Source organism: Homo sapiens, chromosome 5 (assembly GCF_000001405.40).
Source record: "Homo sapiens chromosome 5, GRCh38.p14 Primary Assembly".
In the NCBI taxonomy this organism is placed as follows: domain Eukaryota; kingdom Metazoa; phylum Chordata; class Mammalia; order Primates; family Hominidae; genus Homo; species Homo sapiens.
The window spans coordinates 77,176,243-77,192,864 of record NC_000005.10 but is presented as its reverse complement, the minus strand read 5'-3'; the positions used below and the strand labels follow the sequence as shown (position 1 = coordinate 77,192,864).

The window sequence follows — 16,622 nt, the reverse complement described above, 5'->3', positions numbered from 1 at the left end:
AATGAAAAAGACTGACAATACCAAGTGTTAGCAAGATATAGAACAACTGGAATTCTCGTACATTACTGATGGGAATGTAAATTACTACAATCTCTTTTAAGGACAGCAGTCTCTAATATTTTCTTATTAAAAACATACACTTACCATGGAAAGGTGGAATTTCATTTCTAGGCACTTACCCAAGAGAAATAAGAACATAATGGAAAATGGCCAAAGGCTTATCTATGGACGTTCATAGTAGCTTTTAAAATAATAGCCCCAAACTGGAAACAACCCAAATGTTCATTAGTAGGTGAGTAAATACACAAATTGTGGTACACCCATAAAATAGACTTCTACTCAAAGATGAAAAGTGACAAACTACTGATATACACAACAGCATGTATGAATCAAAATCCTTATACTGGGTGAAACAAGACAGACACAAAAAGTTATGTGTATGATCTTATTGACATGAAACTCTAAAACAGACAACTCTAGTCTAGTGGAATGGAAGGAAGACACTGGTTACTTGGGGTCTCTGGTGGGGGTTGGGAATTGGCTGGGAAGGAACACGTGACTCAGGCTGATAGAACTGGTCTATATCTAGACTGTGGTGGTGATTATGTGGACACATTACAAGATGACTTACTTTGTCAAAACTCATCAAACTGTACACTTTAAAATAGGAGTCCCCAACCCCTGGGCCATGGACCCATACCAGTCCGTGGCCTGTTGGGAACTGGGCCACATAGCAGGAGGTGAGCGGTAGGCCAAGCAAGCAAAGCTTCATCTCTATTTATAGCCACTGCCCCTCACTCACATTACCACTTGAACTCCGTCTCCTGTCAGATCAGTGGCAGCATTAGGTTCTCATAGAAGTGCGAACCCTACTGTGAACTGCGTATGCAACGGATCTAGGTTGCACACTCCTTATGAGAATCTAATGCCTGATGATCTGTCACTGTCTCCCATCACCCCCAGACAGGACCATCTAATTGCAGGAAAACAAGCTCAGGGCTCCCACTGATTCTACATTATGGTGAGTTGTATAATTATTTCATTATATATTACAATGTAATTATAATAGAAATAAAGTGCACAATAAATGTAATGTGCTTGAATCAACCCGAAACAATCCCCACCTTCGATCTGTGGAAATATTGTCTTCCACAAAATTGGTCCCTGGTGCCAAAAAGGTTGGGGACCGCTGCTTTAAAAGGTATATGTTTTGGCCGGGCACAGTGGCTCACGCCTGTAATCCCAACACTTTGGGAGGCCGAGACGGGTGGATCACGAGGTCAGGAGATTGAGACCATCCTGGCTAACACGGTGAAACCCCGTCTCTACTAAAAATACAAAAAAATTAGCCAGGTGTGGTGGCGGGCACCTGTAGTCCCAGCTACTCGGGAGGCTGAGGCAGGAGAATGGCATGAACCCGGGAGGCGGAGCTTGCAGTGAGCCAAGATCGCGCCACTGCACTCCAGCCTGGGCAACAGAGTGAGACTCCGTCTCAAAAAAAAAAAAAGATATGTTTTATTGTACATAAATATTATACGTCAATAAAATTCATTTTTAAAAAAACTTACATTTACCTCATGTTATGGACTGAAGTCTGTCCCCCAAAATTCCTAAGTTGAAGTCCTAACTGTCAATATGACTATATTTGAAGATAGGGCCTTGAGGGAGGTAATTAAGGTTAAATGAGGATAAAGGTGGGACCCTAATCCAATAGGACAGTATCCTTGTGGGAAGAGGAAGAGACACCATAGAGCTCTCTCCATACATGCACAGAGAAAAAGCCATGTGAGGACACAGCAAGAAAATGGCTGTGTGCCAGCTGGGAAGAAGGGCATCACCAGAAACCAACCCTGACAGCACCTTGATCTTGGACTTCTAACCTTCTGAACTGTGAGGAAATGAGTATCTGTTGTTTAAGCCACCCAGTGTGTGGTATTTTGTTATGGTAGCTGAAGCCGACTGATATACTGGACCACCAAGCATAAGATAATAAATTCACCATCCCTTACGAATCATATTATTCTTGGGCCTACTTTGTCTTCAGCCAATTAAAACTTTCCTAGAGCATATACTGAGAGACAGAGGTTGTTTTAATTCTGCAAGGGAAGGCCTCGGCCAACAGTTCACACAACCAGTTCATATGCTAGAGCCAAAGTGATGAGGAGAACACAACTTTTAGGTCTAAAAAAGCCATGATTGACACCAGTCAGACCTTACCAGGGCCAAGTGAAAGGAAGAGACAGGAGCACCTCCATCACACTCATCTGTGTGTCAGATCAGATTTCAGTGAAGCAATTGCTTTCTCTTGGCTTCTCATTGAGCCTCACTTAGTACTGGCCGCTAAACTATAGACTGTAGACGTCCTTTTCTCTTCTATTATCCCATTTATCAAATAAATTCTGCAACAGATGACTGCATTGGTTCTCATCTTTCCACTAATTATGATTCATTTATTAAGAGTAACATTTTTCAGCTAACAAACTAGATCTACCCCTCTCCTTTAGAGCTATCTTAGTGGCACTCCAAGTTTGGTTATGAAGAAAGGCTTCCAGAGGGAAAGCAGCCTTTATTTTGACCATGGCATGTTAAACTGTTGCAGTCAAGGACTGGCCTTAGAACTCCCTGGAAGGTTTGCCCCTCCAGGGAAACCAAAGGGCATTTTGGCACTCAAGAACAAAGCCAGACCACAATCACCCTTGATAACAACCAGGTCAGCTGACTCAACTCATGGAGAAGAATTAATAAGAACATGGGCAAAGGACAGGCACCAGGTGGCAAGCCCGACCAATGGGCTGATGGTAACAACTCACACCGTGTTAGTGCTAGAAGGGGCCTTAGAGATATTCTAATGTCACCCTAGATCTTTTCTCCCTCCATATTCCATCTGCCTGCAAATCCTGTTAGGTCCACTTACAAAACTGATTCAGAATCTGACCATTTTTTGCCATCTTCACTGCTACCATTCTGGTCTAAGCTGCCAAAACCTCTTGCCTGGATGACTGATGGTCTCCTAGCTTCACCTGGCTTCCCTCAGGCTATTCTCCATAAGCAGCCAGGGTGAGCCTCCTACAAACTGTCAGACCCCCCACTTCCCATCTGACCTGGTCTTTATAGCCGACCACAGTCCCTGAGCAGCCTGGCTCTCCACAACCTCTCTGCCCTCAGCTCCTGCTGCCCCTCCTGCTCACTTCCTCCTGCTCCAGCAGCCTCCTTGCTGCACCATGGGCATGCCGACATGCTCCTTCAGGGCCTTTGCACCCACTATCCCTCCCACTTGAAATATTCTTTCACAAATATCCAAAAAATTTCACAAATATCACTCCCCACTTCCTTCAGGCTTCAGCTCAGATATTACATTATCAGGGAGGCATTCTCTGACCATGCTATTTACTATGGCAATGTTCCCCACCCCATCCTGGACAGTTATTATTGCTCTTTCCTGCTTTATCTTTCTTTCTGGTGCTCACCACATCTGACACTTGCATCCTTTCTCCTCTCCCTCTTCTTCCCTTTCCTCTCCTTCTCCTCCTCTCCTTTCCTTCTTGACTTTATCCCAACACTTGAAGGTAAGCCTCAAGAGAAGATCTTTGTCTGGCATATATTAGATGCTCACTAATTATGTGTTGCATGAATAATAGAAATATGTCCTTTAAGGATGACAAGTCAGAGTGGGGAAGCAAGTGTCCTAGGCCGCCTGTGTCCTCCCCTGCTGCTCACAGCTCTCATTGCCTTCCAGATTTCAAGCCTGGGGAAGAGGGGGTGTGAATGACAGCAGTGCTTGCTGTAGTGCAGAGAAAAACCCTGCAGACTGGGCAAATCCCTAGAAAGGCAGAGGGAAGGGCTTAGGGGAGAAAGAGAAGACCAACTACACCTGGGCCAAAGCAAGAGGCCATCTAGGTGTTTGAGACAGGCAGGAGCAGATAATGTGGTGGTCCCCAGCCTCTTCTCCCTTCCCCCACTGAGGGCTATGCTTTACCCTCAGACTTACTCATCAGGGTACCAGCTGAACTGGTACGGAAGCAAGATATTGATTCTCTAAGCCTTCAGGTCACCCATTCAGCATTTGGAGCAGACACAGAGCCTTGTCCACTGACTCAAATGTCCTAGACAATATTACATTGTCCTCTGTGTGTTGTGATGCACAGGGTTGAAATACACTGCTTTATCCTTCCTTCTACTCCCTTCACTATTTCCTCCCACTCCTTCCTTCCTACTTATTTTCCTCTTGTGCAATCCTTGCAGCCGTGAGATCTTTTCTGCAGTTGCAGAGATCAGTGGGTGAGCTGTGGTCTTTCCGACAGAAGTTATTCTCATGATATGAGTGACAGCACATTGAGAACCCCCAGTGCATGCCGTATTTAAAGATCCAAAATGCCCTTCCTTAAACAGAAAAACTTACCCAAGAAAAGACAGATTGTGAAAATACTTCAGTAGCCATTGTCCCCCTGAAAATGCTACTCTGGAATAAAACTGGGTGTTTCCTCTTCAAGATGTGAAAATGAGTACTGCAAAACGATGCACTTTAAACAGGAATGCTGTTCAATGGCTGTTTGACAAAGATGTTCATAGTAAGCCCTTTATCAATATTATTCATCTCAACCTTCCTAATATCATTCCATCGAAAGCCAGGACAGGATCTAGAACTCCTCAACTTTCTAAAGTACTCTTAGGTTACTAAGAGGGTCTTTTGTGAAGTTTTCAAACAAAGATTTAATTAAAAGCTCTCTGAGCAAGTTAATTTTCCTATTTCAATTGCATGCTATTCCAACAAAGATGGTCTTGAATTTATTTTTTAATACTAACTGGAACTAGAAAATAGATGCTAAAACCCTAGAGAAGTCATGTTCTCCTACTCTTTAATCAGCCATGGCCTCTTAAACATGTATACAATGATAAAGAGCTGGTGATAAATACATTTATTAAGCCACTTACTTTCTTAGTAATGTCCTGACCTTAGTAACACCCTTCATAAGTTTCACTCAAAAGGAGTAATATTTACAATGGAGAATATTGGCTGGCCACGTATGCTAGATGGTTGCTTTTTCATTTGTTTATGCCTCAGTGTAATTGTCTTAATCTTCTAGGGAAAAGTTTAAAAATTCTTTCGAAGATGAAAACCAAGGCTGGAGTCAGACAACACCAGGGTCAGGGAATGCACACCTTGGTATGGGTAGGAGAAAGTAGACTGCTTGAGAGATAGAAGCTCTGGATTCTAGTCCCCTCTTTGCCATTTTTGCCATATTTCATCAAATCTAAAATACCACTAATTGTAGGGAATGCCATCACTTTATGTATCACTAAGAAAAGAATGCTGCCCATCAAACAATGACAGTCCTACAAGATATGAAAATTGCTCCCACTGGCCGCTCACTGCTTTGATTTTTTTTTTCATCTATAGATTAGGCTATATCTCCTGGCTTCAGTTTAGTTACTTGACATGTAAGAGGTAACCCCTTTGCACATCTCTCAATATTGAAACATAAATCTAGCTGTAGGTACTTGTGGGTATCTTTTCTTCCTTAAAAGCACTTGGCTGCTACTTTGCAAAACAAACAAGCAAAGAAAACTGAAATTGCATCATCCCTCCAATGCCAAATATTTGCCTCATCAATATCAAATTTATCCCCATGCTCTATTTCCTTGACTCCCTGTGTAAACAATAACTTTTGTGTCAAGGCCAAATCATAGTGTAACCTTTGTGAAGTCATCTTAGCCAGCAAGTAAACTAAACACATGTATTATCAACCATGCACCTACTTCAACAAATGTTGAAAACATAAAAAGCTGAAACTGTGTACACTGTGTACATATTCATAGACAAATCCATTACAACCACTGCCTGGCTGACAGCAATTTATAAGAAGCTGTCCCACCAGCAGCAGTGATCACAGATTCAGACTTGTAATCAATTCACAAGACACAATAGGTTTTAATCTATCACTGCCTTTATTTAGCTTTCTAGTAGGAAACAGAATGGGAAACACAGCTTGCATAGTATCTGCTATCTCGTAGGAAGGCCCAGCAACTACCCACAGTTGCAGACTCTTGGCCTCCCCTCTGCGCACTATGGTGCACATAGTTGCCAAAGATGAAGGGTGTGGTTCACCCTACCCAGGAGAAACCACTGCTTTGGTTTCCTTCTGGATTCTTTCTTGCTCCAATCATGGAGGCCCAAGGCCACTGGGCAACTCATAGCTCTTCCAATCCTAATGCAGTCTCAGGAATCAATAGTTTTGCAATAATCAAGACAGATAATTCACCTCAGGTACACAGCAATCCAACTGCTGTGTTTCCAAGAAAAAGATGGCATGAGAAGGTAAGTCTGCAGTCATCTTCCCAGGCAGGTCAACGGGAAAAGGTTGCAGGCCTAACTCTCAGGTATTAACACATCCTGATTCCAGGGTCATTAAAATGGGAGAGGAAGAGGGTGCCTCTTAGAAAAACTGAAATGCTGCTTTTCCAAATCAATTTAACTGCCAATTCTCATTGTCTTAACTGTAACAAGGATAATAATTTTAAGGGGCTATTTAAGGGGATAGTCTCTTCTGTTCCTTTTGGCTGTACGATCTAATTAGGAACCTATGACTTTAATATGCGTAGGCTGTTGGAGCTTTAAAGTGGTAATGCAATTACTGCCATACTAACAAATACATGCTTCCTGGGCACACCAGGGAAGCCCTGGGAGCTTGTGTGGCAGAGCCTCTGGGTTGTCTGTGATGCTGGGACACAGGCTGGAATGCAGGACACTGGGTGTGAAGGGCTCCATGAGCTTCTGAAGCTGCAAATAATAATAGCCACCATTTTTGACACCTAGTCTGTACCAACCACTTTACATAGATTATCTCATTTAATCAGGACAATAACCCTGCAAGGGAAGTATTACTATTCCCATTTGACAGATGAGGAATACTACTGGCAAGCAATGGAGCTGGGATTAGCACCCAGGCAGTCTGCTTCAGAGTTGGTGCTCCTAACCCCTAGGTTTCCCATCTCTAACCCACAGCCACTCGGCTTCACATTACAGTCAATGCCATCAATAAAATTTGCTTGATGTAAGTAGTAACATTGGGCCGCTTTAAATATTACCCAGGGAATTCAGAAAAATAACAGTTTTGGGTTAGGAAATGGCAGGGGGTGGGGGGACAGGAGGAGATGGATGTGAGGTGAAGAGGAAGATGACTCCATAACATGGCTCAGTAACCTACAGGCCCCCTCCAATGAAAACAGCATGACTACATCTCAGGATGTGCTGTCTGACAGAGACAATGTGTTATGGGCTGAATTGTGTTCAACACAATTCTTAGGTTGAAGTCCTAACTCCCAGTACCTCAGAATGTAACTGTATTTGGAGATAGAGTCTTTAAAGAGGAATTAATTTTAAATGAGGTCATTAACATGGCTCCTAATCCAATATGACTGGTGTCTTTGTAAGAAGAGATTAGGGCATAGACACACAGAGGGAAGACCATATGAAGACAGAGGGAAAAGATGACCGTCTACAAGCCAAGAAGAGAGGTCCTCAGAATTAACCAATGCTGCTGATACCTTATAGTTCTGAGGCTTTTAGCCTCCAGAACTATAAAGAAGTCAATCTCGGTTGTGTGAGCTATCAGTCTTTAGTACTTTATTATGGCAGCTCTAGCAAACTAATACAGAGTGCTATGTATTTACCATTTTCTCTTTCTGGACACACTGAAAAGCATTTCCTTGTCTCCACGCATCAGGTTGAGGTCTGTGTGACTAGTTCTTACCAAAAGACTGTAAATACAAGAAATATGCTTCATTTCTGAGCCAAGGCATTTACAAGCAGGTGTTGATTCTCCACTGTCTCTGTTTCCTCCCCTGCCATAGGACCATCAAGACTGCATGTTCTAGATAGTGCAGTTACAAGATGGCAGAGCTCTGATAGCCTGGTGCCCTGAGTGCCTCTGTGGAGCAGGGCACTCTGCTAACCTGCTTTGGACATAAAATGTGAGTGACAAATAAATCTTTATATTTTATTTTTCATTTTTATTTTATTATTTTATTTTTATTTTTATTTTGAAAAATTTAAAGAAGGGTCTCACTATGTTGCCTAAGCTGGTCTTAAACTTCTGGCCTCAAGCAATCCTCCTGCCTCAGCCCCCTAAAGTGCTGGGATTATAGGTGTGAGCCATCATGCCCAGCCTCTTTCTATTTTTTAAGCTACTGAGGTTTCAGGGTTGATTTGTGGCTGCAGCATAGCCTAGCCACTTCTCACACATAAAGCTACCTCAGAAAAGCCAGGGTACCAAAAACAGATATTTTAGGAATTCATGTGATATTAGATAAAATCATACTAAGTTGTTGTTTTTGTAGGCAAAAAATGGTCAAATATGGACAGTTTCATTTGTGTGACCTCTAACTGCACATATTTGCAGACCCTTACGGTTGGAAAAGACCTTGGCAACCAACAAGTCCTACCATCCATAGTTTATAGACAATACTTCTGAGACCCTCTCAGATTAAATGATTTATCAAAACTCCAAAAACATGTTAGTGGAAGAATTGGACCCCAAATCAGAAATTACATTTCATTTAGGGAAGGCAAGTTAGCAGTATGTATTTAAAAGTATATATCTGGCCAGCACGGTGGCTCACACCTGTAATCCCAGTACTTTGGGAGGCTGAAGTGGGAGGATCACTTGAACTTAGGAGTTTGAGACCAGCTGGGGCAACACAGTGAGACTCTGTCTCTACAATAATTAAAAAATTAGCTGGGCATGGTGGCGCACGCCTATAGTCCCAGCTAATCCGGATGCTAAGGCAGGAGGACTGCTTGGATGGGGAGGTCAAGCCTGCAGTGAGCCAATAATGCACTACTCCCCTCCAGCCTGGACAACAGAGGGAGATTCTGTTTTTTTTTAAAAAAAAAAAGTATGTATTTAAATAGTAACCATGATCTTTCACATAATAATTCCACCCCTAGGAACAGATTCACCAGAAATATCTAAACAGGTATGCAGAAATATATAAATAAATGGATCCACTGTGTGATCTTTCACAAGTACTGTATGTGACTGTGAAAACTGAGAAATAATCCAAATGCCCATTCACAGGGATTGGTTAAATAAATTACGGTTTACCCATCTGCTCTCAAGCTTACAGAGTTAAAAATAAAGGAGTCAATCTCTTTGCTGACATGAAAAGACACCCAGATCATGTTGATGAAAGCAAGAAAGTCCAAGTAGAAAAAGAAAAGAAAATTATCACTCATAAAAGATTTTTAAATCTCTATGCACTGAGGTGTATAAAGCATCTGACACGTAGTAGGCACTTTTTGCCCTCCCCTTTTCTTCCTTCTTGCATGTCGCTTGGATCATTGTAAATACACCCAGCTGGCTGGTTCAGCTCCACCACCTACTAGCTGTGTCATCTAAGATGAGAAGTCTCAGCTCTCCCATTTGTAAAATTTAAAGAAATAGTAGCGCCCAGGCACAGTGGCTCATGCCTGTAATCCCAGCACTTTGGGAGGCCGAGGCGGGTGGATCATGAGGTCAGGAGTTCGAGACCAGCCTGACCAACATGGTGAAACCCTGTCTCTACTGAAAATACAAAAATTAGCCAAGCCTGGTGGTGCGCACCTGTAGCCCCAACTACTCGGGAGGCTAAGGCAGGAGAACCACTTGAACTTGGGAGGCAGAGGTTGCAGTGAGCCGAGATCAAACCACTGTACTACAGCCTGGACAACAGAGCAAGACTCTGTCTCAAAATAATTAATAATAATAATAATAATAATAATAGCACATCTTCAGAAGGTGTTGATAGGATTACATGATAGTGTTTACATAAAGAGCTTAGTCCAATGCCTAGCGCCTAAGTACTTAAAAAATTTTCACCATTATGTTGATATTCATCTCTGAAAACCTGAAGAAACAAGGTTCTTTGTGGCTTTTTAATCTCTTATAATAATTATCTAGTAAAAAAAATTGTCATCCTGCTTATTTCCCTTCCTAAAGCTAAATTAAAAAGCTAAAGAGCAGTGTTATCAAAAAAGCAAATACATAATATATTGAATTTAAAATGTGTTTATTAACTGATTCTCCATAAATAAAAATAAGATGTGTATATAAAGTAAAAAAAAAAAAAAGCAGTGCTTATCTCAATAAGCTCTGGCAATTAGGCATCCAATATTTAATACAGCTTTTAAAGACAATTTAACTATTTCATTACCAAACTGATAAGCTGCTTTTCTGAGAAGTTGACATTAACTGAGTCATTCCCAGGTAAGTCAATTGTTTATCAGATATGATGTAAGCGGCCTCCATGAGCTCTGCAAGACTGGGCTGTCTTCCACTGAGGGGTTAGTGTGGGGCTTCCCCTCTACTCATGCCTGTAACAGGGAGGTTGTGGCTGGAATCTTTCAAATGCACAGAAAGGATGTCTTCCAGGATTATATAACCAAGCTCAAACTTTACCAGGACTTTCTATGTGAGATCCTTCCCAGTGCATTCTAAGCATTAACTAAACCAGTCAGGCTTACTTCCACCTATCTTTAAGCCTGAATGATTTGTGTAGCCCTATGAACAGATTGGAATTAAAATTCAATTCACCCACTGATCTAGTATCTCTTCCGTCCATAAACGCTCTTTGGAACCAAGTACAATCTGTAGCAAGACTGCAAAGAACTAGTGAGCATTCACAGGCTAAGTCTGGCAGATTACTGCCAGAGTGGAATCCAGAATTAAAGGCTCTGAGCCTTCCTGGCAGCTGAGGCCAGGACAGGTTGTACCTCTTGCCCTGAGTTTCACAACTGGTCAGTGGTACCACTGAGCTTGGAATCCAACTCCCTGGCCTCCAATCCATGCTCTTGCCACTGCTGATGAATTGTCATTCTTCTGTTTTTGCTTCTTGGAAAACCGAACCTCTACAAAGTTAAAATAACTTATTCAAGGTCAAGAGGGCAGTCAAGTAGAACTGGCAATGCGAACTGCTGGGTTATAAAATCCGAGAGGGCGGGTCCTCTGGCCCTCGCCTCCCCTGGGGACCTTGTGTAAATGTTTTCGTTGATTGTCTCCCAACACACAGTTTAGAGGAACTCTCTCTTCTAGGTTAGCACTGCACGTCCAACTTCAGGTTCAGACAGAAGCACTTGTAACTATCAGAGCCAGCATGCCCCCAGCCACCCTGACCTCCCGACCGACCGTCCATGGAAGGCAGCCTGGGCAAATAACCACCACTCAACTGCGGAGGTCTTACAGTCCTAGTAACTCACACCTCGCCGCCAGCAGTGTTTTTCTGGAGCTGGCAACCTGGGGACGGGTAAACTGGTGTCAGATTGAGCCAGAAGCAGAATGGATGGGCACAGCTAGTCTTGAGGGTATAGAGGAGCCTGTGGACGGTTCAAGGCTTCTAGCCAAGCTTTTGTAAAGGCTGCTGCAAGCCTCACCTCTCCCAACAGTCCTTAGGAGCACAGCTACTTTGATCCTGGTAACTAGGTGCGTTTCAGAGGACACTCTGAACGCCTAGCGGAACGCCCCCAAGTTCAGAGTGGCAGCGCCGCCTGCGCAGCTTCCCCCTTGCACTAAGCGTCCCTCCCTACCACAGACTGTTCTCCCGGGCACTTTCCTGCGACCCCGCAGCGTGGGACCCTTCTTTGTACACACGTTCCAGCTCTTCCTTTGCTTTGCTCCACCTCCAAACATCCCTTCCCACAGGGGATGAGGCGGGTGGTTTAGTCCACGCTCCGTCTATTCACCCAGCTAGCGTTGTCCCTAGAACTTAGTGCAAGGGTGAGGGTGGGGATGGTGGTGGGGGTGGGGGTTGGGGTAGGGGTAGGGGTAGGGGTGGGTGCCCCATTGCAGAGTCCCGAGCGCTGGAGCTAGGCACTGAGGTGCGCGCGCAAACACACACACACACACACACACACACACACACACGTGTACACACCCCACGCTGGGGCTGCCGGCGACTCACTACTCAGAAGGGGAGGCAGCTTTGCAGCCACTGGAAGCACGAGGAGGAATGCAGGGGCCCCACCGTCCCGCGCCGGGGAAGCGTGGAAAACACCAGGCGCAACAGCAGCCCGAGGAGCCGGCCCGACGGAGAAACAGGTCCAGCTCCTGCTGAGAAGCGCCAGGTGGACGCGAACGGCGGCTGTCTGTGGTCAATTATTATTGGGAATAATAAACCTGACGGTTACACTAGACGCTCGAGGTGCTTCCCGCCTGGAAAGGAAGGAGGTAGTTGGCACTAGGACACGCAGGGACTAAGGGCGAAAAGAAAAGAAAAAAAGCCACCCTAGCACCTGGGTGTCTGAAAGGGGGCCCTGAAGCCGGCTCTGGGCTTGTGCCAGCGGCCGGGTACCCAGGTGTGAGGGGGCGGCCGAGGGCTGCGCGGTCCCCCGCGCTGGGGGCTCACCTGGCACGCGCTCGGTGGGCAGTACAGCTGGTCCATGCCGGCGGCGGGCGGCTCCTGGGCGCCCTGGTGGTGCCCGTGCCTGGCGCCTTAGCCCCGCACAGAGGGCACCGGCCTGGCGCACCCTGCACCCCACTCCCCGGGCCTCGTGCCCACGTGAAGGCTCTGGTTGCTCCGTGGGACTCTGGCAGCGAGCCTGAGCCTCCGCGCCTTCACTTTCCAGACGCGTCCCCGGGCCGGCGGGTGCCTGGGTCCTAGCGCCCCTCCCGGGGTGTGGAGCCAAGACTTTGAGCCCGCTGAGCTGCTCCGCTCTGGGCAACACCTTCCTGGCCCCTCGAGGGAAGTCCAGCCTCGCTGGAGCTGCCAAACCTGGAGCCTTTCTTGGGACTCAGGATTCGGATTCCCAACACCCCCTTTACAGGTCTCCACTTTCCTCTCGTTGGGCCTTTGCCCCCAGGAAAACGCTGAAAGATCAGATTTGCCTGCAGCCCTCAACTCACAATCATATACACTATAATTTTAAAGAGATTTTCAAGTTAGAGATATTGGTCCCTATACATATATAACACATCATATGTAATAAAGACAGGTTTTCCTCCAAGTAGAAGAATGAATGTGAAAATAACATCTCCTGGGCGCGGTGGCTCAGGCCTGTAATCCTGACACTTTGAGAGGCCAAGGCGGGAGGATCTCTCGAGGCCAGGAATTCGAGACCAGCCTCAGCAACATAAGGAGAAAAAACCTTGAGAAAAATCTATTAGGGGCTGAAGTTATCCCTCAGCCTTAATTGTAGGGACAATTTACAAACATGAGTCAAACACGGATCAAACCAAAGGTGCAGCTAAGCTTCTAGAGCCGCCCCCCACCCAAATCCCCTCCAATCTGGGTAGGTAGCTGCTATCACTAAATGTCTAAGCAGACACTATGAAGCTTTCATACACTTTCAGGAAGTAATACATTGTACCTAATTAAATGCCTCAGCCTTAAATGGTCCTGGCATCTTGCTTGCAGCTATTACCATGCCTGGCCCATACCTGGCTCCTCTGGGGTGGAGGGATTTTGAACTAAGGTCTAGAGAGCATTTGCAAGGCCTTTTCCTTCTCAGCTGCCCACAGTGCTGAGTCAGTCCAGCCAAAACCAAGACCAACAACAATCTGTTCCTGCTGACTTTCTCATCCAGAAAGGCTGATGAGATTTCTAATGGCAGAAAAGAAAAATAAGTCATTTTTAGAAATAAAACGAGGAAAAATTATTATTTTTGACATTAGTCATAAAGGCCTACAAAAAGGCATGAATGCAGTATGAATATGGCCTTCGCCACGTTTTTCTAGGAGCCCAAGCATTTTTTCACAAAAGCATTCCTCCATGTGTGGACAAACTTCAAGATGACTCCCAATGATCCCCATTGCCTGGTGTCCATGCCCTTGTGTTGTCCCCTCCCCTTGAGTGTGGATGGAACTTGTGACTTGACTTGCTGCCCACCTATGGAACATGGCAAAGGTGACCAAATGACACTTCATAGATTAAGTTATACAGTTTTGCTAGTAGAGGCTTTCTCTTGCTGGCTTTGATAAAACATGCAGCCATACTGGGGAGGCCCACCCGGCAGGGAACTGAGGGTGCCTTTGTTCAAGGGCCCTCGGTCCAACAAACTGAAAGGAGGTAAATTCTGCCAAAAATCAGGAGAGCCTGAAAGTGAACCCTTCCCTAACTGAGCCTTGAGATGCAACTGCAGCCCCAGCTGAGATATTGATTGCCGCTTTCAGAGTAATCTTAAAACAGAGGATCTAGTAAAGCCATGCCCAGGCTCTGACCCACAGAAACTGTGAAATAATAAATATGTGTTATTGTAAACCACTGAATTTGTACTTTGTTATGTAGCAATAGCAAACGAATATACTTTGTCCTTCCACAGAAGGAAAAGTGAGGCAAAGGGGGTTAGGTAGAAGGGCCAAGGTGATTTAAATTAACAGCATGATCTATCATTATTTCACACTCATAGTCTTTTTAGGCCTGGGTAGACAAGGAAAAGCAGAACAGCAACGAAATCAGAAAGTAAAGCATTAAGTGCAGGCTGAGATTTGTGGAAGGTAAAGCAAGGCAAAAGAATAACTTTAATAAAGTCTGATGCAAAAACAACCCAACAGATTAAAGGACAGTTTGAAAAACTCAGGGTACATTGACCCAGGTTAAAAATAAATGTTTTCTGAAAGAAAAATAAATAAGTTAAATGGAAAACAAAAAGAAAAAAACAACAAAGAGATGATGAGGAAGGATAAAGGCACCAAATCCTCTGAATTCCTCTTCTATCTATAAAAGAAAAAGAAAAGCCATACTATTCACTTCTGAGAGAGTGAGAATTTTCCAGAAGAGCCAGTTAAGAAGTACTAGGAGGACGTCTGCTTACAGTACATGTCTGTGGCAACTGGGAGGTTGTCTATTTTTTCCTGAGATATTGCATAAAAATTGACAGTATCTTAAAACCACTAGCCTGAGTTCTGATGGTTTGCACATACAGTAGTCCCCACTTATCCACAGTTTAAGTTTCTGCAATTCAGTGACCCACAGTCAACAGTGGTCCAAAAATATTAAATTGAAAAATTCCAGAACAAACCATTGATAAGTTGTAAATTGCATGCCATTCTGATAACATCTAGAGGTGTCCTGCTTCCGTCCTGCCCAGAACGTGAATCGTCCCTTTGTCTAGTGTCTCCATGCTATATCCACTACCTCCACCACATCCCCCGTGAGTCACTGAGTAGACACCTTGGCTGTCAGTTTTACTGTTGTGGTATTCCAGTGCTGGTGTTCAAGGCACCCTTATTTTATTTAATAATGGCCCCAAAGTGCAAGAGCAGTGATGCTGGCCATTCTATATACCAAAGAGAAGCTGTAATGCGCTTCCTTTAAGTGAAAAGATAAAAGTTCTTGACTTAATAAGGAAAGAAAAATAATTGTATGTTGAGGTCGCTAAGACCTACAGTACGCTAAGATATTTTGAGAGCTAGAGACCACATTCACATAACTTTTATTACAGTCTATTGTTATGATTGTTTTATTTTGTTATTACTTATTATCATCAGTCTCTTACTGTGCCTAATTTACAAATTAAACTTTATCATAGGTACGTATGTATAGGAAAAAACATAGTGTACACAGGGTTCATTACTATCTGTGGTTCCAGGCAGCCACTGGGAATCCTGGAACATATCCCTTGCGGATAAGGGGGGGATACTGTATTTGTTAGGTTTTAAGTGTCTTTGGATGCCTCATGTTTAAACATGGTTTTTTTTCCTCCACTTCTGCCATCATACAGCGAAACAGAGCCCAACACTCAACCCACTGGATATTTATCACCTACCATGCACCTTGAAGAGACTGTGGAGTGGTAGAAGATTTTAAAAGAGGAAAAAAGAAGAAGGGAGAGAGAAAAAGGAAGAAGAAAGAAAGAGAAGGGACAGGAGGAAGAAAGAGAAGGAAAGGGAACTGAAGCAAAGGGAAGGAAGGAAAGAAGGAAAAGAGAAAAGAAACCAAAGGCACAGAATTCCAAGTCTAGCTGGAGGTGGGGCTGGGGTATCTAAAATCGCATAGTGAAGCTCTGCTCTCATGCTCCCCATGGCCTCCTGGACAACTCCAAGCATGAGTTCCATCAATATCACGCAACGAAAGCTTCTGAACCATAAAGCATCATCTCCCTTCCAAATCTGATTCCTAGTGGTTCATGCTACTAACAACTCTCCAAATTCAAACCATGGCCATCTGGCTTTCCTTCTTCTCCCTTGCTCTCCATATCAACCAGCCACCACTTCCATTATTGCATCACTGCTCTCTGTCTGTCCCTTTGCATCCTTACCGCCAGTAGGGAAACAGGCTCAGTGTGGGCCCGTGTCCTCTCCCTCTGGACTAACCTGGGCGAGTAGGTAGTAGTCAATATGACATCATCCAACTGAGATGTGCCAAAGAATCCACCCTCCTCCTGCTCATGCCCATGAATATCTCCTCCACCCACATTTGACAGGGCTTGAAATGTCCTTAAAATGTTTTTTTAAATTGCTTCGGCATTGCTCTATCCTTAAGTTTAAAAACTGTAAATGTTTCTATTTTGCAGTAACTCTTTGTGCCTCTAAAACCTTCATAAGACTCTGTTGATCACTCTCTTCTTCCTACACTGCTTCCCTGGGAAGGGTAGACAGCGCTAGGGTGATGGAAAAGGGCAACAAAACCAACTTCACCCCATTCACAGCTTT

At 44.3% G+C, this 16,622-nt stretch overlaps 1 protein-coding gene across 12 annotated transcripts in view; it reads right to left on the bottom strand.

Annotated features, from left to right (window-relative positions):
* Positions 1-16,622, bottom strand: part of PDE8B (phosphodiesterase 8B) — a 341,542-nt gene that overhangs the window by 235,392 nt on the left and 89,528 nt on the right. For 10 of the 12 annotated variants that reach the window (NM_001349750.3, NM_001376069.1, NM_001376062.1 and 7 more), the window contains exon 1: positions 12,379-12,561. The exons of the other annotated variants lie outside the window; for them this stretch is intronic. In NM_001349750.3, the coding sequence (NP_001336679.1) occupies positions 12,379-12,414 (36 nt within the window). In that variant the 5' untranslated portion in view covers positions 12,415-12,561. Of the gene's footprint in view, positions 1-12,378; positions 12,562-16,622 lie in introns of those variants that run through there. 12 annotated transcript variants of the gene reach the window in all.